Source organism: Homo sapiens, chromosome 11 (assembly GCF_000001405.40).
Source record: "Homo sapiens chromosome 11, GRCh38.p14 Primary Assembly".
Classification (NCBI taxonomy): domain Eukaryota; kingdom Metazoa; phylum Chordata; class Mammalia; order Primates; family Hominidae; genus Homo; species Homo sapiens.
Genome location: NC_000011.10, coordinates 27,050,707 through 27,072,214, shown reverse-complemented (window position 1 = coordinate 27,072,214; position 21,508 = coordinate 27,050,707). Strand labels below are relative to the sequence as shown.

General features: G+C 37.4%; 1 protein-coding gene and 1 long non-coding RNA gene across 12 annotated transcripts in view; one reads left to right on the top strand and one right to left on the bottom strand.

Annotated features, from left to right (window-relative positions):
- Window positions 1-21,508, bottom strand: part of BBOX1 (gamma-butyrobetaine hydroxylase 1) — an 86,995-nt gene that overhangs the window by 55,595 nt on the left and 9,892 nt on the right. For 6 of the 9 annotated variants that reach the window (NM_001376260.1, XM_047427692.1, XM_011520402.2 and 3 more), the window contains 2 exons: window positions 16,566-16,819; window positions 14,900-15,014 (listed from right to left, as the gene is read on the bottom strand). In NM_001376260.1, the coding sequence (NP_001363189.1) occupies window positions 14,900-15,014; window positions 16,566-16,784 (334 nt within the window). In that variant the 5' untranslated portion in view covers window positions 16,785-16,819. Of the gene's footprint in view, window positions 1-14,899; window positions 15,015-16,565; window positions 16,847-21,508 lie in introns of those variants that run through there. The other 3 variants (NM_003986.3, NM_001376258.1, XM_047427691.1) reach the window with 2 other exon arrangements.
- BBOX1-AS1 (BBOX1 antisense RNA 1) overlaps window positions 1-21,508 on the top strand; it is a 172,928-nt gene that overhangs the window by 147,899 nt on the left and 3,521 nt on the right. For 2 of the 3 annotated variants that reach the window (NR_125767.1, NR_125766.1), the window contains exons 4-5: window positions 5,553-5,723; window positions 9,155-9,232. The exons of the other annotated variant lie outside the window; for it this stretch is intronic. This is a non-coding gene — a long non-coding RNA (BBOX1 antisense RNA 1). Of the gene's footprint in view, window positions 1-5,552; window positions 5,724-9,154; window positions 9,233-21,508 lie in introns of those variants that run through there. 3 annotated transcript variants of the gene reach the window in all.

Below are 21,508 nucleotides of genomic sequence, written 5' to 3'. Positions count from 1 at the left end.
AAGTTGCCTATCAGCTTAAGGAGATTTTGGGCTGAGATGATGGGGTTTTCTAAATATACAATCATGTCATCTGCAAACAGGGACAATTTGACTTCCTCTTTTCCTAATTGAATACCCTTTATTTCTTTCTCTTGACCGATGCCCTGGCCAGAACTTCCAACACTATGTTGAATAGGAGTAGTGAGAAAGGGCATCCTTGTCTTGTGACCAGTTTTCAAAGGGAATGTTTCCAGTTTTTGCCCATTCAGTATGATATTGGCTGTGGGTTTGTCATAAATAGCTCTTATTATTTTGAGATATGTCCCATCAATACCTAATTTATTGAGAGTTTTTAGCATGAAGGGCTGTTGAATTTTGTCAAAGGCCTTTTCTGCATCTATTGAGATAATCATGTGGTTTTTGTCTTTGGTTCTGTTTATATGCTGGATTATGCTTATTGATTTTTGTATGTTGAACCAGGCTTGCATCCCAGGGATGAAGCCCACTTGATCATGGTGGATAAGCTTTTTGATGTGCTGCTGGATTTGGTTTGCCAGTATTTTATTGAGGATTTTTGCATCGATGTTCATCAGGGATATTGGTCTAAAATTCTCTTTTTTTTGTTGGTGCCACACACTTTTAAACCATAGATCTTATGAGAACTCATTCACTATCATGGGAACAGCAAGGGGGAAGTCAGCCCCCATGATTCAATCGCCTCCCACCAGGCCTCTCCTCACACGTGTGGATTACAATTTGACATGAGATTTGGGTGAGGACGCAGAGCCAAACAATATCACCTTACAAGCCCAAAGGGATTGGGATCCTATCTTTAGCCCCCTTTTTTTTTTTTTGAGATGGAGTCTTGCTCTGTTGCCCAGGCTAGAGTGCAGTGGTACAATCTTGGCTCACTGCAAGCTCTGCCTCCCAGGTTCATGCCATTCTCCTGCCTCAGCCTCCCTAGTAGCTGGGACTACAGGTGCCTGCCACCATGCCTGGCTAATTTTTTGCATTTTTTTTGTTTTAGTAGAGATGGGGTTTCACTGTGTTAGCCAGGATGGTCTTGATTTCCTGACCTTGTGATCTGCCCTCCTTTGCCTCCTAAAGTGCTGGGATTATAGGCATGAGCCACCGCACCTGACCTCTTTAGTCTCTTTAAAGAGAATAATTGTCAGGCAAGAATTTTGTATCCTGCAAAACTAAGTTCCATAAATGAAGGAGAAATAAAGTCATTTTCAGACAAGCAAATGCTGAGGCAATTTGTTACTACTAGACAAGCCCTGCAAGAATGCTAGGAGTTCTAAAACTTGAAACAAAAGGTTGATGTGCACCAGAATAGAATCTCTTGAAAGCGTAAAACTCACAGGCCTATAAAACAGTAATACAATGAGAAAATAAAGTAGGTAACAATCAACATGATGACGGAGAAAGTATCTCACATCTCGACATGAACATTGAATGTAAACGGCCTAAATGCTCCACTTAAGATACAGATTGGCAGAATGGACCAAAAAAAAAAAAAAAAAAAATCAATCACAAACCAAATATCTTCTGTCTTCAAGAGACTCACCTAACACATAAGGATTCATACAAATTCAAGGTAAAGAAGTGGGAAAAGATACTCCATGCAAATAGAAACCAAAAGCGAGCAGAAGTAGCTATTTTTATATCAGATTAAACAGACTTTAAAGCAACTATATTAAAAACAAAAAAGAAAGAGGGTCATTATACAATGATGAAAGAATCAATCCAACAAGAAGATATTACAATCCTAAATATATATGCCTCTAACTCTGGAGCTCCCAAATTTATAAAACAATTACTGTTAGACCTAAGAAGTAAGACAGACAGCAACATAATAATAGTGGGGAACTTCGATACCCCACTGACAGCACTAAACAGATCACTGAGACAGAAAGTCAACAAAGCAACAATGGACTTAAACTACACTCTGTAACAAATGGACCTGATATTTATAGAACATTCTACCCAATAACTGCAGAACACACATTCTTACTAACACATGGAAGGTTTTCCAAGACAGACCATATAATAGTTCACAAAACATTTCTCAATAAATTTAAGAAAATCAAAATTATATCAAGTACCCTCTCAGAACACAGTGGAATAAAACTGGAAATTAACTCCAAAAGGAACCCTGAAAACAATACAAACCCATGGAAATTAAACAATCTTCTCTTAAATGATTTTGGGGTTAATAATGAAATCAAGATGGAAATTTAAAAATTCTTTGAAATGAATGATATTATTGACACAAGTTATGAAAACCTCTGTGATGCAGATGTTGACTACTATACATCACATAAACAGAATTAAAAACAAAAGTTCAACAGATGCAGAAAAAGCATTTGATAAAATTCAGCATCCCTTTAGGTAACCCCCACTAATGAACTAGGCATTGAAGGAACGTACCTCAAAATGCTAGGAGGTGAATAAAGGCCATATATAACAAACCATCAGCCAACATCATACTGAATGGAGAAAAGTTAAAGGCATAACTTAAAAGTTAAAAGCAAAAATTAAAAGTTAAAAGGTTAAAAATTAAAAGTTCCAGTTCCTGAGAACTGGAACAAGTTAAGGATGCCCGCTTTCACCAGTTCTATTCAACATAGTACTGCAAGTCATAGCTTGGGTAATTGGACAAGAGAAAGAAAAAAGGGCAACCAAATTGGAAAAGAGGAAGTCAAATTATCACTGTTCACCGATGATAAAATAGTATACCTACAAAACCCTAAAGGCTCCTCCAAAAGACTTCTAGATTTCATAAGCAAATTCAGTGAAGTCTCAGGTTACAAAATTAATGTACACAAATCAGTAGCACTACTATACCAACAATAACCAAACTGAAAATCAAACCATGAACTCAGTCCTTTTTACAATAGCTGCAAAACAAAATCCAGGAATATTTTTAACCAGGGAGATGAAAGATCTCTCTAAGGAGAACTACAAAACATTGCTGAAAGAAATCATACGTGACACAAACAAATGGAAACACATCCCATGCTCATGAATTAGAAGACTCAATATTTTAAGAATGACCACATTGCCCAAAGCAATCTACAGATTCAAGCCAATGCCTATCAAAATATCAACATTATTCTTCCCAGAATTAGAAAAAAAAATCCCAAAATTCATATGGAACCAAAAAAATAAAAAAGAGCCCAAATAGCCAAAGCAATCCTAAAAAAAAAGAGCAAATCTGAATGCATCATCTGAACTGATTTCAAATTTTACTATAATGCTATAGTTACCAAAACAGCATGGTACTATATAAAAGTAAACACATAGAACAATGGAACAGAATAGAGAACACAGAAATAAAGCTAAATATCTGCAACCAATGGATCTTTGACAAAACATACAAAACTATAAATTGGGGAAAAGATACCTTATTTAATAAATGGTGCTGGAAAAACTGAATAGCGACATATAGAAGAATGTAACTGGGTCCCTATCTCATACCTTATAAAAAATCAACTCAAGATGGATTAAAGACTTAAATTGAAGATCTGAAATAATAAAAATTCTAGAGGATAACCTAGGAAAAACTCTTCTGGACATTGGCCTATGCAAAGAATTTATGACTAACACCCCAAAAGCAAATGTAGCAAACAAAAATACATAAATAAATGGGGACTTATTAAACTAAAAAGCTCTGTATAGCAAAAAAGAAAAAAAAATTACCAGAGTAAACAACCCACAGAAAGGGAGAAAATATTTGCAAACTATCCATCCCAACAAAGGACTAATATCCAGAATCTACAAGGAACTCAAACAAATCAGCAAGAAAAAAACAACCCCATCAAAACGTGGGCAGATGACATGAATGGACATTTCTCAAAAGAAGATGTACAAATGGCCAACAAACATGAAAAAATGCTCAGCATCACTAGTCATCAGGGAAATGGAAATTAAAACCACCATGAGATGCCATTTTGCCCTCACCAGAATGGCTATTATTAAAAAGTCAAAAAACAACAGATATTTGCATGGATGTGGTGAAAAGGGAAGCGTTCACTGTGGGTAGGAATGTAAATTAGGACAATCTTTATGGAAAAGAGTATGGAGATTTCTTAAAGAATTAAAAGTAGAACTACTATTCAATCCAGGAATCCCACTACTGGGTATCTACCCCAAAGGAAAAAAGTCATGTAAAAAAGACACCTGAAAATGTATGCTTATTACAGCACAATTCACAATTGCAAAGTTATGGGACCAATCTAAGTGCCCATCGACTAATGAATGGATAAAGAAAATATGGTATATACACACCATGGAATACTACTCAACCATAAAAAGAATAAAATAATGTCTTTTGCAGCAACTTGAATGAAGCTGGAGGCCTTTATTCTAAATGAAGTAACTCAGAAATGGAAAACCAAATACTGTATGTCCTCACTTGCAAGCAGGAGCTCAACTATGTTTTTTAAAAATTTTTATTTTATTTTATTTTTGAGATGGAGTCTCGCTCTGTCGTACAGGCTGGAGTGCAGTGGCGCGATCTCGGCTCAGTGCAACTTCCACTTCCTGGGTTCAAGCAATTCTCCTGTCTCAGCCTCGGGGTTCAAGCAATTCTCCTGTCTCAGCCTCCAGAGTACCTGGGACTACAGTCGCATGCCACCACGCCTGGCTAATTTCTGTATTTTTAGTAGAAATGGGGTTTCACCATATTGGTCAGGCTCAAACTCCTGACCTCAGGTGATCCACCTGCCTTGGCCTCCCAAAATCCTGGGATTACAGATGTGAGCCACCGCGCCTGGCCCGGAGCTCAACTATGGGTATGCAAAAGCAAGCAGAGTGGTGGTATAATGGACTTTGGAGACTCAGAAGTGGGAGCGTGAGAAGAGGTAAGAAATAAAAAATGACATATTCGTTACAACGTACACTACTTGGGTGACGGGTGCGCTAAAACCTCAGACTCCACCACTGTGCTATTCATTTATGTAATAAAAAAACACTCTCCAAAAGCTATTGAAATAAAATTAAAAAAAGAAATAAACCTATTTTAAAACAAACAAAAAAGAAAACTCTCAGAGTTGCTGTCTATAATTACTTACAACCACTTTCAAGGAAATCTTTTGAAAAAAATAATGAGTTGATATGTATGGTGCAACACTACCCTTCACCCAACATTGCACTGCTTGAGAAGTTAAGTATATACTATTATTATATCTGTTGTGCAGATAAGGATATTGAAGCATAGAAAGGTTAAGTAAGTTGCTCAAAATCACAGACTTAGCAAGGCCTAGGGCCAAAAACCCTCTTAATTTCAGTGCCCTACTTTCTTATTGATTAATAACAAAGTTACTGATTGAGAAAAATATAAAATTTTAAGAAAAAAAGAAAGAAAAAGGAGATGATTTTTGGATAGAGTAGAACTTAAACATTTTTATTTAATTTGCTAAGCCAGAAATTAGGCAAATCAATAGTATGTATGAATGTAAACATCAACAAATTCTTAAAATTGGCAAATCAATAGTATGTATGAACGTAAACATCAACAAATTCTTAAAATGGTTTTTTTTCTTTTTTTTTTTTTTTTTCCCCTGAAGGGATAGCCCAGAGCTATTCCATGTATTCCATGGATGGGCACATTTGGAAGTTTGGTTCTAAAATCTAAAAGAAGAAATTTAAGTGTGCTGAAGATAACTGCAACTCCAAACCTAACGCTGTGTAATTCTATGTTCTGCCATTTTGAAGCAAAGTGGAACCAGAAGTGAGAGGTAATGGTTTTTGAATCAATTGTCCCCTTTTTTATTGTCTGGCGAATCTGCTGATATATAGGCACTAGCAAAATTGGCAGGACAAATTTATCCCTTATGTGTACATTTGGTAAACCTGAAGCCAGTGTAGAAAGTATTCCAACTTTACTTTTGGAAATTGGAACACTTTGGAATTTTCTAAATGTATAAGTTCTAAACTTGTAGCCCAACTGCCAATGTTATAAAACTTATTCCTGGGCTGCAACAAAACAAAACAAAACAAAACAAAAACCAAAAAACCACACACACAAAAACACAAAAAAGCCTAGCTTGTAGAAATGGAGCTCGTCATTCACTAAGGAAAGCCCATTCTATTTTGTTTTCCTTGTTTAAAAAGTAATAACTTTACTTTAATATAACTACAAAAAATTATTTTTCCAAGAGCAAAAACATTAGAATATTTTCCTTAATTCTCAATGTGGCAACTAAACTAAAAAGGTATAAAAAGGGAATGGACTGTAATAATTATTTCTGGAAATATATTTGCTTTAGGTTCTCAAAGATATCCTCAAACTTTGCCAAGGCTTTTTAAATATTTTAAGATACCAGCTTTTCAAGGTCCCGTCTAGCACTAACATTGTCTTATGAAGTTGTTAAGTAATGAGAAAATAATTTTTGAAGAAGAATATAATTAATATACCTCTTACTCAAGCATTTAAAAAGTAATAGATGTAGTAGTATACAGGCTTTTAAAAAATTTTATTTAATACATCAATACATCTAGTAAAATAGACTTATTTTTAATATTTATATCTGAACATGTGGTATGTGTTTTCTAGCTGGAAGTATGGATGGAGTTTAGAAAAGGAAAGAGGAAGATAAGTTTATCTGGAGCTTACAAATGAAGCCCAAAATTAGGCAGATTTTGCGGGAGCAACCTGCAGATTAGTGGCACCTGAGAAAAGCACAGGGCACTGCAGTGTGCTTCCCAGGTTCTGAGTCTCCCCTGGTAGGTTTACAGTCAGAACAAGGGCAGCCCCATCTTGCATAGGTACGTTAGACTCTTTAGATGTTATGCCTGATTTTACCAAGTGCAGTGCAGAAAATGAGAATAATAGATTACATATAATTCAGAAAAGAATAGGACACATTGAAAGACATCAATATGGCACAGAGGAAAAATGAAGCAAGGTACACATTCATAAATTGACATGCATTTGAGATAGCTGTATTCACTTAATCAAAACCCCAAAGATATTTCTCTGAAAGTCAATAGGTCCCTTTGCAAGAATTATACCAGTGAGAAAATTATGGCAATGAAAGAGATCTGATCTAACCCACCTCCTCCATCTTGCCTTTCCCTTAATCATTCCTGGGCTTAGGCTAAGCTGTCTTTGAGAGATATTTAATTTATAGTTTTAAATGGGAATAGGCCTTCCCCAAGAACTCAATGGCCTTTGCAAAACTAATGAAAGACCATCAGGTTAGGGGAAAGAGAGGAGCCTGATTCTGCTAAGGCATAGAAACAGATTGTCAGCCATTCCTGCAGGTAACACCACTATTGTATATGGGCCTTTGAGATGTTTTTTTTGTTGTTTTTTTTTTTCATGTCTGACACCTATGGCTCCACTGGACCCCATGGGTCTACCTAGACCCACCAATCCTGCCCCTGTGGCCCCACTCAGAAATGATTTAGCCCACAGGAGGATGGCTTTGACCCCCTATGATTTCATCTCTGCCCAAACAAATCAGCAGCAAGCCTAGTCGCTGCCACTCCTTTCCCAGAATGCCTTTGAAAAACTCCTAACCTATGAGCGTTGGATAGATTGATTTGAGGACTAACTCCATCTCCCCCATGGCATGGCTGGCCTCATGTCTATTAAACTCCTTTTTTACTGTAAAACCATGGTCTTTCTTTGAGCAGCAGGCAGGAAGAACCCCTCAGACAGTTATAATAAAGTCACATGCATTTGAGATAGCTATATTCATTTCACAGAAAACCTAGAGATATTTCTCTGCAAGTCAGTAGGTCCATTTTGCATATGACAGGCAAAACAGAACAAAGACATGCTTCTTAAACATATAAATCCAGTGAGCTATTCTCCCACCTGTGTATCTGAGTTATGAGTTTGGGTGACTTTAGGGAAGGAATCTTTATTAGTCTCTCTTGGGAATGGAATGCATTTCGGAAGATGATGTGGTGGCTTAATTGCTCTAAGGCAGCTGTTTTGACAGGGCTGTTTGGAAGCCATTCTGACCTGGCAGCCCTGATACTGTTGGGACATCCTAACGCAGCTTGAAAAAAAACAACAACCCACCAAGTCTTGCTAGTTCTTTTTATAATTACCAAACAATAGTGAAACAATACACTTACCCCATCCCTGATTTGCATTGCAGGCTCCCACCTCTGAGAATTCAAGAATGGATGTAGCAAGGCTTAGAGATGGGGGCAAAATATCACATGGGCGAGGCATATTTCTTTTGTACATTAATTGAATTAAGAAAAACACACAAGATTTTTGCTTTATGACAATGCTTTGTAAAAATGGCCTCTGCACCAAACCAAATCTGGTTTTTGCACTGTCATAAAGTCTCCATCTTCAAGTAAATATATGGTTCTCTGCAAGAAAGGAAGAACTCTCTACTTTTTCTTGCCATGTACAAGACGAATAGATTTTAGAGGGTCCTAACAGTTATTTGTGAGTTTTCACTTCCTCTTATGGAATGCTACTTTTGAAACAAAGGAGTGCGTTATAGCTATAGACTGAAGGGCTATAATCTGATTTAGTAGATGGTAAAGACTGCCATGAGAGAGGCATAAAGAATTGTGGGGAAATATTCTTTTTTTTTTTTTTTGACTGTGCAATGTACTCCATCCCTGGATTGCTGAGAAAACTGAGCAGCCTGTCTCCATGGAAATAAAATATTTTCTTCAAGTTATAGCTTTTTAAATCTCAATATTCTATAAAAAATATTATTAAAGTTAGAGATTAATACAAAAATACTTCAGTACCAATTCAGAGAGATAATCAAGCATCTATCATTCTGATATTGAGGATTAATAAAAAGAACAAATATTTAGCTTCATATGTATATCATACTATATAGTGATTTTTTTTTCCATTTTGGTCCTGCCAGTTATATGTTGGGAATGTTGCATCTCAAAGTTAGTGACAAAAATGAGCATATAATTATGCCAAAATTTCACGAGAGCTAAATTATAATTAGTACATAAAAACCTTGTCTCTAATATGATTTAAAGTCTTCCATTTTCACCCATATGTTTGGAAACATGTACTGCTGAGCTTCAAGTGTTAGGATTTCAGTTGAGAGAGACTAGAGAATATGGCCGGCAACTTGCTGTCCTACAGGTCATATATGTTCCTTTTGAATACAGATTCTACACCCTCCTCCATCCTCCCTGCCTCTCAAAATTTCTTTGTCTTTTACAGGACTATTTCTAGGTCATGCTACGGTTACCCTGACCCCAGTCACTCCCTATGCTGGTCCATCCAAACTCAGAGCCACGATCAAGGCCCTTCTACAACACAGATGTGATTACTTCACTCTCTTTTGTGGGGTAAATATAAGCCAAGAGCCAAGCAGGTGCACTGTGGAGGAAGGGAGAATGCAAGAAGAAAAAAAGAAAGCCCGCCAGGCGCGGTGGCTCACGCCTGCAATCCCAGCACTTTGGGAGGCCAAGGTGGGCGGATCATGAGGTCAAGAGATCAAGACCATCCTGGCCAACATGGTGAAACCCCATCTCTACTAAAAATACAAAAATTAGCTGGGTGTGATGCCGGTAGTCCTTGTAGCACCTGTAGCTACTCGGGAGGCTGAGGCAGGAGAATCACTTGAACCCGGGGGCAGAGGTTGCAGTGAGCCGAGATCGCTCCACTGCACTCTAGCCTGGTGACAGAGGAAGACTCCGTCTCAAAAAAAAAAGAAAAAGAAAGCCTAGGAGACATGTACAAACTTGTAGGCATTTGAGAAGTTATGTTCATTTGATTAAAATCAGAAAGACACAACTCGGAAAATGTAAAATACAGATGAAAAAATGAAAGCAATCATCTTCTTAAACTTATAAAGATCTTAAACTCATTTCTCTGGCTTTAAAAGAAGAGCATCAGTATGGAGAAGCTAAGGGGATGGCATATCTGAGCCCTTGTTGGGAAAACTCTTAATCGCCTGCAGGTTTAGGACCAAGCAGGGCATATAAGCCACTTCATGGTTTGGCCCCTTCCTTCTTCTCTGTTGCCTAACAATTTTAACTTCACCAATATTAAACTAATTGCAGTTTTCCAAACCTATCCTACTATTTTACCCTTTGATGATTTTCTGCCTGCCTTTTTCTTTGTTGAGAATTTCCTTACTTTCTATCTATCTTTGCCTGACAAACTGATTGATTCTCCAAAGTGCAACTCAAGTATTACCTCATTTCTGAGGATCATTCCTTCATCCCTTCAAGTTCCTTCTTCTGTGTCATCATTAACTTTCTATGTGTGGTTTTAATGTACTTCAAGTAATGTCTTATACTTATTTTCTCATGGCTATTGTTCCCTTTCAGACTTGATAAGTCCTCAAGGAGAGAATCTATGTCTTTTAAAAAAATCTTGATATTTCCTTACAGAGGTCCTGGCACAAAATAGATACCCAATATATGTGCAACTGAATAGAAATTTATGAGGGAGTGATAATTATCCGTGTCTTCCTTTCAGCTATGACTGTGTCCCATGATAAAAGTTTTTTGGATGATGATCATTTGTCTTGTCATTTTTGAGTTCAACAGCGAGTGCCAGGGGGAAGATCAAGGAAAAATTGTCTGCATCTTGATTCCAGATTTTAAAAGCTCTGTAACCCTCACTCCAAGGGTTATGCTTGCAGAAGAGAAAACATTACTACTGGGACTAAAAAACAAAATCCTTTCACAAATGTAACTGAGTTTGTTTGCATGCTCTGGAATATAAATGTTTGAAAATCTGCAATGGCAATGAAATAAGGTATCAAATTCTACAGGCAAAAAGCCATAGAACCAATATTCCAAAAATGGCTCATTAATTTCTTTTTTTTACCCACCAACTGCACAGCTTGAGAATGTATTTTAAAAATCTGATCTTGTTTTAAACTATTAAAATATTTTCCAGTGTCTAAATAGCAGCCAGTTCTTATATTATTCATGATTGCAGCCTGTCATTGTGACCAGTTTTTTCCACTACTTAATTGAGTGTAGTATCATTTCCATTTTGCTACTGCCCGATAGTACTGAAAAATGTAAGCTATAAAACTGCACTCATCAAGAAATATTAATGGAGGAGGATGTCCATATCCTTTTACAATGCTTAAAAGCTTAAGCTGTAATAATAAAAAGTTGGCATGTATTTCCTGAAAAAATCAAAAGGAGAACTTGAAGGAAATGAAAGTAAAATCCAATAGGATTATAAAATTAGAGCAGAGTTAAGGAAAAATATTTTGAGTACCAGAAGAAGTCTAAAATAAATTTAAAAAAATACATTTGTGACACTGCGATGTGACCCAGACAATCGGTACTAAATTATGTAATTGGAGACTCCTTGAAGAATTTAGCAATGCACTCATTGGAGGAAGGCAATAAAAACATCTTTCCCTGGATACCCATCTGGATTTAACCAGCTAGATACAGGGAAAAATGAACTGGTAGTTTAGAGAGAAAGCACTAGGACAAAACCTTGTCAGCCATCAGAATGGTGAGACTAAAGAAATGGAGGAACCAAATTCTTGACATGGCTGGTCTATGCTTAAAGAGAAAGGGGACAGTATCATGCTCTATTATTGATAACCAGAAGAAATGGTGAACCTATTTGGTTCAAGTTGATTAGTAACATCTTCATACCTAGTAAAGTGTCATAAGTCTCATTTAAAGCCACGGAGAGTTACCACACATGTTTAAGAATTTCAGATTTGAAAGGAGTTAAGGTAAAATCTCTCTCTTGGTATGTGGCTAAGAATTTCCAGGAGAGGTGTTACAAAACTCAACAAGGCTGGTATATTAGCCTGTTCTTGCATTGCTATAAATAAATACCTGAGACTGTGTAATTCATAAAGAAAAGGGATTTAATTGGATCACTGTTCTACAGGCTTTATAGGAAGCATGGTGCTGACATCTGCTTGGCTTTTGGGGAGGCTTCAGGAGACTTAAAATCATGATGGAAGCTGAAAGGGGGAGCAGGCAGATCACATAGCAAAAGCAGGAGAAACAGATAAGGGAGGTGTTGCTACACACCTTAAAACAACCAGATCTTCAAAGAACTCATTTGCTATTGTGAGGATAGTACCAACAGGATGGTGCTAAACAATTCATGAGAAATCATCCCTTGTGATCCAGTCACCTCCCACGAGGCCCCACCTCCAACATTGGAGATTACAGTTCAACATGAGATTTGGGTGGAACATGCAAACCATATCATTTTGCTCCTCGCCCCCCAAATCTCATGTACTTCTCACATTGCAAAATACAGTCATGCCTTCCCAGTAGTCCCTGAAAGTCTTAACTCATTCTAGCATTAACTCAAAAGTCTGAAGTTTAAAGTTTCATCTAAGACAGGGTAAGTCTCTGCCACCCATAAGCCTGTGAAATTAAAGACAATTTATGTACTTCCAAGATATAATGGGGTTATAAGCATTGGGTAATCATTCTCATTACAAAAGGGAGAAATCAACCAAAAGAAAGGGGAGTACAGGGCCCATGCAAGTCCAAAACCCAGCAGGGCAGTCACTAAATCTTAAGGCTCCAAAATTATCTCCTTTGACTCCATGTCTTGCCTCCAGGACACAATGGTACAAGGGATGGGTTCCCAATGCCTTGGGCAGCTCTGCCCCTATGGCTTTGCAAAGTTCGGCTCCAGAGGCTGCTGTCACAGGTCGTTGAGTGCCTGTGGCTTTTCCATGCTGAGTATGCATGCTGGCGGTGGATCTACCATTATGGAGTCTGCAGGACAGTGGCTTTCTTCCCACAGCTCCATTAGGTAGTGCCCCAGTGAGGACTCTAAGTGGGGCCTCCAACTCATTTTCCTCTGCATTTCCCTAGGGTTCTTTGTGAGGGCTCTGCCCCTGCAGCAGGCTTCTGCTTGGGCACCCAGGCTTTCTTATATTTACTATTACTTTTAATGGCAAAAACCGCAATTACTTTTGCACCAACATAATACATCCTCTGAAATCTAGACAGCGAACATCAAGCCTCATTCATTCTTGCACTGTGTGCGGCCACAGGCTTAAAGCCACATGGAAGCCACCAAGTCTTACAGTAGCTTATGCCCTCTGGAACTATGGCCCAACCTGTACCTGGGCCCCTTGGAGCCGAGGCTGGAGTGGGAGCAGCTGGGATGTGGGAGCTGCCTCCCGAGGCTACACACAGGGCAGTGGAGCCCTTGGCCCAGGAAAGCATTCTTCCTTCCTAGGCCTCTGGGTCTGTGATGGGAGAGGCTGCTGTGCAGGTCTATGAAATGCCTTCGAAGGCTTTTTCTTGTTGTCTTGGCTATTAGCACTGGCTTCTTCTTATATACAAATATCTCTAATAAGTGGTTGATCCACAGTCTGCTTGACTTCCTCTCCCAAAAAAGCTTTTTCTTTCTCTGCCTAGACATGAATAGGTTACAAAATTTTCAAACTTTTACACTCTGCTTTCCTTTTAAAGTTCCAACTTATTTGTTTGCTCTTGTATCTGATCATAGGCTGTTAGAAGCAGTCATGTTACTTCTTAAACACTTACTTTGCTGCTTAGAAATTTATTTCACTAGATACCGTAGGTCATCACTCTCAATTTCAAACTTCCACATATCCCTAGGGCATGGATACAATCCAGCCAAGCTCTTTTGCTAAGGCATAGCATATGTGACCTTTGCTTCACTTCCCAATAAGATCCTCATTTCCATCTGATAACTCATCAGCCAGGCATTCACTGTCCATATCACCATCAGCATTTTGGTCACAACCATCTAACCAGTCTCTACAAAGTTCCAAACTTACCCTGTCTTCTTCTGAGCTCTCCAAACTCTTCCAACATTTGCCTGTTACCCAGTTCCAAAGCTGCTTCTAAATTTTAGGTATCTTTATAGCAATGCCTCACTTCTCAGGACCAATTTTCTGTATTAGTTTGTTCTTGCATCATTATAAGGAAATACCTGAGACTGGGTAATTTATAAAGAAAAGAAGTTAAATTGGCTCATGGTTTTGCAGGCTATACAGGAAGCATGGCACTGACATCTGCTCAACTTCTGGAGAGGCTTCAGGAACTTACAATCATGATGGAAGGTGAAGGGAGAGCAGGCAGGTCACATGAGGAAAGCAGGAACAGGAGAGAGAGGGTAGTGCTACACACTTTTAAATGACCAGATCTTGCAAGAACTGTTTTTCAGTCTATCTTTGATTCACATAGTTTCATGTAATAAATCTTCAAAATAGGCAGAGAATGAATTGTAAACAGCCCTTACTCCTTACCAGTTCCTCTGCTTGAGTTCTATTACTGTGTATCTCCTAAAATTTATATTTAAAAATATTTCCACCTGTTTTAAGTATTTATTTTGCTTCTTTGCTCAGCAATAAAGTCCTCTTTATCCACTGAATCCACCCTTGCAGTTTTTCTGAACATTGTTCTGTTTATGGATCCCCTTGAAACCTATATAAATTCTTCCTAGACAAACGTGGCTTTGTGTGCATGTGTGTGTACATGCACACACACAAATTGTCCCACACTCACTGGCATTTGCAGTGCTATGCGTACCGTTTCATGGGTTCATCAATCCCATAATTCCATCTATGAATACCAGGTTAGGAATTCTTGCTTTGTTGATTTGTGTTGTTCTGGCCTTAGACAAAATTGTTATAAAGGGCCAGTCTGCCTCTAGTTCATCCTGCTTCTTTGTAGTGAACACTTACGGAGTGTCTGTGGTATGCTGTGCCAGGTTTTGCTTTAGATGACAAAGACACAAGTTTGCTGGACTTATTTTGTTTCTTTCTCTGTAGAATGTCTAGAATTACTCTATACTCCTTTTCATCTCTACCCAAATGATATTTGTCGGTAAAACTTTAAATACACCACATAATTTACATGTCACATATTTTAATCAAAGCACAAAGGTTTGAATTTTCTGTGAGCAAATTTCTTAATAAAAATCCTTTACTGTAAGGGTTTAAAAAGACATTGAAGACTTTGGCAAAGTTACCTGGAAAAAACAATTCTCTTTGGAGCTTTGCTCTGGCCTGCTTGGAAAAGCATCTTTTCTTCAGCCAATCAGCCTGGAATTCACTGTAATGCTCATCGGGCCATGTGATGTACACCTTATAACACAAAAAGCAAATTTCACCTATGTGGATTTTATTTCCGTTCTCCACTATTGCTCTGTTTTTGAATGCTGTTTAAGATAATCAGGGAATCCAATTATGCTTTGCTTAATTTTTTTTTTTTTTTTTTTTTAAGTCGGAGTCTTCCTCTGTTGCCAGGCTGGAGTGCAGTGGCGCAATCTCGGCTCACTGCAACCTCTGCCTCCCGGGTTCCAGCGATTCCCCTGCCTCAGCCTCCCAAGTAGCTGGGATTACAGGCACGCGACACCACGCCTGGCTAATTTTTTGTATTTTAGTTGAGACGGGGTTTCACCATGTTGGCTAAGACAGTCTCCATCTCCTGACCTTGTGATGCGCCCGCCTCAGCCTCCCAAAGTGCTGGGATTACAGGCGTGAGCCACCATGCCTGGCCAGCTTAATTTTTAAGACAGAGATTAAGCATACGCTTTTGGAAAACAAGGAAGCCAAAGTAATACATCTGAGGTCTGAGGCCCTTAAATAGCACTCAAGAAATAGAGCATGGATAGATCTACAGTTCTTGACCTACATCCTCTAAACCTGGGATCCCCAAACTTTCTGTGATAACTGAAGCTAGTTGTCAATTAAGATTCCTGCCAAGAGTATTAGAAATAGTAATGGTGCAGCTGGGTGTGGTGGCTTATGCCTGTAATCCCAGCACTTTGGGAGGCCGAGGCAGGCAGATCACAAGGTCAGGAGTTTGAGACCAGCCTGGTTAACATGGTGAAACCCCGTCTTTACTAAAAATACAAAAATTAGCCGGGCATGGTGGCCCATACCTGTAATTCCAGCTACTTGGGAGGCTGAGGCAGGAGAATTGCTTGAACCCGGGAGGCGGAAGTTGCAGTGAGCTGAGATCGCCCCACTGCATTCCAGCCTGGGCAACAGAGCAAGATTCCATCTCAAAAATAAATAAATAAAAGTAAGTAATAGTAGTGATGATAAGGAGTACAACAGCAATAATAAAAATAACACTATTTTGAGTATCCATAACAAGTACTATAGACATAACACATTTAATCTTTACAACTCTAGGGGGAAGGTACTACTATTATTCTCATTTTTTTCAGGTGAGAAATGTAAGAGTAAACAACATTTCTATCTAGCTAGCAAGCAGTGAAATCTGGGAGTAAAGTCCTCAAGTCGGGATGTGGACAAGAGCATAATAAGAATCCTAGTAAATTTGGAAGAGAGAAACATGGAATGGTGGCTGCCTCTGGTTTGTAGTTTTGAGAGCTGTGCTTTTGGGAATCCCAGAACAAGCCTTGTATCTCTACATACTAATTTGACTAAAAGACAAGTAACACTGCAAATTTTATTAAAAATAGTAGTAGTAATGATAATAGTAATAATAATAGCTGAAGCTTCCATTTACTGAATATACTTAATTCGCACCAAGTACTATACAAACGTGGGTTCATATGCGGTTATATATGCGTGACCAAATAAAAAAGAGTTATCTAAATTATTGTTGACTAGCCCCATTATTGAACTTGAGAAAGAAGGGAGACATAATTTAGAGATAATTACCTTTTTTCTGTCAAATATCAAGCCTTTAATTCCAATGTTCACATCAAGAGCTTCCACTAGAAGTTTCCGTGCTTTTGCAGAATCCAGGTAGCAATCAGAGCACGGACAGTTGTCTCTCAACCATACAGCTGGGTAGAGAGACTCTTCCTCATCATACCAGAGGATCTGCATCAAATGAGCCCCGTCAAGTGCTTCTGCCTTTTGGATGGTACAAGCCATGTTTCCGGTCTTCAGGAGTAGATGCTGTCAGCTACCTGCTATGACAAATCAGTGTTAAAAGGAATCTCAGGCAGATAAGATCTAAACTTGGCCTCTGAGAGTGTGAACACTTCAAGTGGACTCTGGCCTCTGCTATTCACTCAGCTGTCAGAGTCTGCGGTTTGACTTATTGACGCTGGGACCTTTGTTCTGGTGAGAGTATTTCACATACTGTAAGCAGAAACACAGTGACTAAAAGTAAATGGGATGTAAGTGCTGAGTCAGGATCCAAATGAAAAGAATTCCTTGTTTTTCTCACAGAAAATTCAGATATTAAGTTCAGAACCAATGACATATGCACTTTAATAATTATGTTTGCATAAAAGCTCTGGAATGTTTAAGGAAGAAAAATGTTCCACAAATTGAAAGTGTAACAATCACCCCTGTCCTATTTTAACTGGTGCCCACTTGGACATGGCTTTTGAAAAAAAATGTTTTTATGATACTAAATTAGTAAACTCGTCTTTATGAAGAGAATATTAATGCTTATTATTTACTTAAAGACCACTGTAATTCAGAATATTGCACTGTTTCTTCAATTCAGAATATTGCGCTGTTTCTGTTCTATCATTTGCTTTTTTACCTTTACAATACATTTTCTTAATGAAATATAGAAGTCCTTAGGTTCTGCAAGAAACTTGCTTGGTTTGTTGAGATTTTTTGTTTTAATGCATATCAATAGAGTGTGCCTTGTTACTTCAGTTACTTTATTCTGAACCTTTTTGGAGTACTTGTGTATACCTTCATATTACTTGGGATTACATGACTTACTTTTATTAAAAAAATCCAGCAAATTTAAGGACATGGACTATTTACAGGAGAGGAAACTTAGTGAAACAGAGACACCGTGGTATTATGCTTGAGCAACGGTGTTGATCCTGATTCCATTAGTGACTATATATTTGACCTTCAGAAACCATGCCAATGTTTTACATTTTACTTTCTTCATATGTTATTTTCCAGCACTCTAAACTTACGTGGATGAAGTAGAACTTACATAGGAAAAGTAGAATTTATATGCGAGAAGTAGAGCTCCTTAACTTCGTCCATGTAGTGATCTGCTCATCATTAACAGAAGGTGACATATGACAATGGAAACAATACTTCATTGCCTTGAGATGAAGGGGAAGTAGGAATGCATGTACACATGTGCACGCACACACACACACACACACACACACACACAGACACACACACACACAGCTTATAAAATCCCTTCCAGGCACTGCAATAGGCACTGGGGGATTTAGTGACAAGTAAGATAAAATTGCTCCCTGTCCTTCTTGAGATTATGGGAAGACTTTATGCAACATTAAGATAACTTAAAATATACCTTACACAACATGAAAGTAAAATACTTCTAGGTGGTTTCACATATGCTTCCTCAGATCATTGGCTTGGATAATTTAGTCAAGTTATGGAGCAGAGTCAATAGGAAAAATATTGCTTTGTCCCTTTAGCTTCACATATAGAGTTATCCAATAATTGCATGTGTGAAATACAATTAATTGGCTCTCATGCTTATTTCTGCTTTGGAACTATAATTTTTTTCTTTAAATTTGTATAGTGGTAGGAGAACACTATTACTTAAAAATAATCAAAAATTATAGTGTACTTTCAAACCTGGAAATTTAGCTCATAAGTCTGAGTGAGGAGCATTATGGAAGTCCTAACATCAGTTTCTCTGTGGAATGGGTAGGACATTTGAATTTCCTGACAAGAGAAAGGGTTGGCTGGCAAGTTTTCTCACATACATTGTTTCAAAAGACAAAGATGGCTCCAATGACCCTGGAATAATACAACTAGATCCTTAAATAACACTAAAAAAAAGAAATGTAGTACATTTTAACCGGTGTCAAGGGATGGCAAATATGTTCTGTAAAATGCCGGACGGCATATCTTTTAGGCTTTGCAGTTTATATACAGTCCCTGCTACATATTCCTGTTTTTATTTTTTAAAACCCTATAAGAATGTATCAACTATTCTTAGTTCATGGTGTGCACAAAAACAATGTAGGCGACATTTTGCCCCCAGGCAGTAGTTTGCTTACTCTTGATCAAGTTATCTAAGTTTATGCTTTCATTACGATGGAATACAATCATGCTTAAATGCAAAAATGGTTCTCTTTCCCTTGTCATTTATAAAGTTAAACTTACTCAAATATATAATAAGTATCTTCTTTGTGCATGCTGCACTAGAAGGTACAAAGATGACTTTGAAGTTCCAGACAACCAGGAGAAGACAATTATGAAAATAAACAAATATTAAGGCCAACATTGCTGAATGCATATCGGTTTCACCTTATTTTCCTTCCTCACTAGTACAACATTTTTTGACTAGGAAATATTTTGTCAGCTTTCTTTGTAGCTAAGATTAGTTATGATATAATTATGCCCAATGAAATATATTTGGAAGTTGCTGTGTAGGGAAATTTTAAAAAAGGTGATAAGACTTGGCTGCCATATGCTGTTTTCTCTATTTTTTTCCACTTCCTTTCTGGAATGTGAGTGTAGTATTGGGGGTGAAGCAGTAATTTTGCAACCATTAGGCAAGAAGCGGAAGTATAAAATCTAAAAGAAGTCAAGAGTTCCCCAGGGTTCTGTGAAAACACTTTACCAGCAATAGATGGTCATGTCTGGACCTCCTTTTTACATGATAAAAGCTAAATTCTTTACTTATTTAAACCTTTATTTGCTAGCTCATCTGGGTACAGATAAGTTGGATTTAAGAAGATTTGTGAAAGGTCATTCCACATTTAGGGTGCAGGCTGAGCCAACAACAAAGATATGAAAATACAGTGTTTGAGCAGTAGAAAACATGTTGTTTGGCTGGAACAAAAGGCTATGAGGGGAAATGGTGGTTGAGAGAGATTAAAAGGCATGTTGATACCAGATCATGAAGCACCATGCATAGCAAGATAAGGAGTTTGGGTTTCATTCTGTTATGAATGGGACTTTTTAAATATTTTTTTCAGGTAGCAGATTTGACAATGAAGGTGATGACAGTGTGTATGGTATATTGAAAGAAGGTTAAAGGGTTAGAATCAGATACATTGTATGGAGCTGTTGTAAAAATGTAGTCTAAAAGAAATAAGAACTGTGGGAGTAAAAGCATATATGGGAGGACACATGTAAGCAATGTTCCAAAGATATTCTTTAAATTGCCTGCAGTTTATATTCTCACAAAAAGTTTTATTATTCTCTTTGCAATTGTATGAAATATCATTTTATGAAAGATAATGACTTTGTCATCAAATCAATACCAGGGGAAAAACTGAAAAACTCCTGTGAATTTTCAGTTTTCACAAATATGTGAAAATTAAACAACAAACTCCTGAACAACTAATGGGTCAAGGAAAAAAATCAAAAGAGAAATTAAAAATATCTTGAGACAAATCAAAATAGCACACATCATAACAAACTTTTGAGATGCAGTAAAAGTAGTTTGAAGAAGGAAGTTAATAGTGATAAATGCCTTCATAAAAAATAAAAAAAGATCTTAAATAAACAATCTAGCTTTACACTTCAAGGAACTAGAAAAAAGAAGAACACATTAATCCCTAAGTTATCAGAAGGAAGGAAATAATAAAGATTAGAGCAGAAATAAATGAAATAGAGACAAGAAAAAAATTAAACTAAAACTTTTTTGAAAGGTAGAATTGACAAACCATTAGCTAACCTAAGAAACAAAGAGAGAAGACTCAAAATCAGAAATGAAAGAGGAGACATTACAGCTGATACCACAGAAATACAAAAGCTCATAAGAGACTACTATGAACAGTTACATGCCAATAATTGAATAATCTAGAAGAAATGAATTCATTCCTAGAAATGTACAACCTACCAGGACTGAATCATGAATAGAAAATCTGAACAGAATAAGTAGGAAGATTAAGTCGGTAATCAAAAACCTTCCAACCATGGAAACTCCAGGACCTGATGGCTTCACCAGTGAATTCCACCAAACATTAAAGAAGAATTAACACAAATTCTACTCAAATTTTCCCCAAAAATTGACAGAGAGGGAATACTTCCAAACTCATTTTATGAGGCCAGCACTACCCTCAAACCAAAGGCAGACTAGAATACTGAAATAATAGAATATTACAGACCAATATTCCTGGTAAACATAGATGCAAAATCTTTAACAAAATACTAGCAAAATGAATTCAATAGCACATTAAAAGGATCATACAGTATGATCAAGTGAGATTTATCTCTGGGATGCAAAGATGGTTTGACACACACAAATCAGTAAATATGACAACACATTAGCAGAATTCAGGATAAAAATTAGGTGGACATTTCAATAGATGCAGAAGTGGCATTTGATAAAATTCAACATCCTTTTATGATAATAATTATCAACAAAGATGTATAGAGGGAATGTATCTCAACATAATAAATGCCATCTGTGCCAAGCCCACAGCTAACATCATATTCACTGATGAAAAGTTGAAAGCTTTTCCTCTAAGATTGGGAACAAGACAAGAATGCCCACTCTAACCACTTCTAATAACATAGTACTGGAAGTCCTAGCCAGAACAATTAGGCAAGAAGATGAAATGAAAGGCATCCAAATCTGAAAGGAAGAACTAAAATTGTCCTTGTTTTCTGATGACATGATCTTATACACAGAAAACCCTAAAGACTGCAGAAAAAACTTTTAGAACTAATAAATTTAG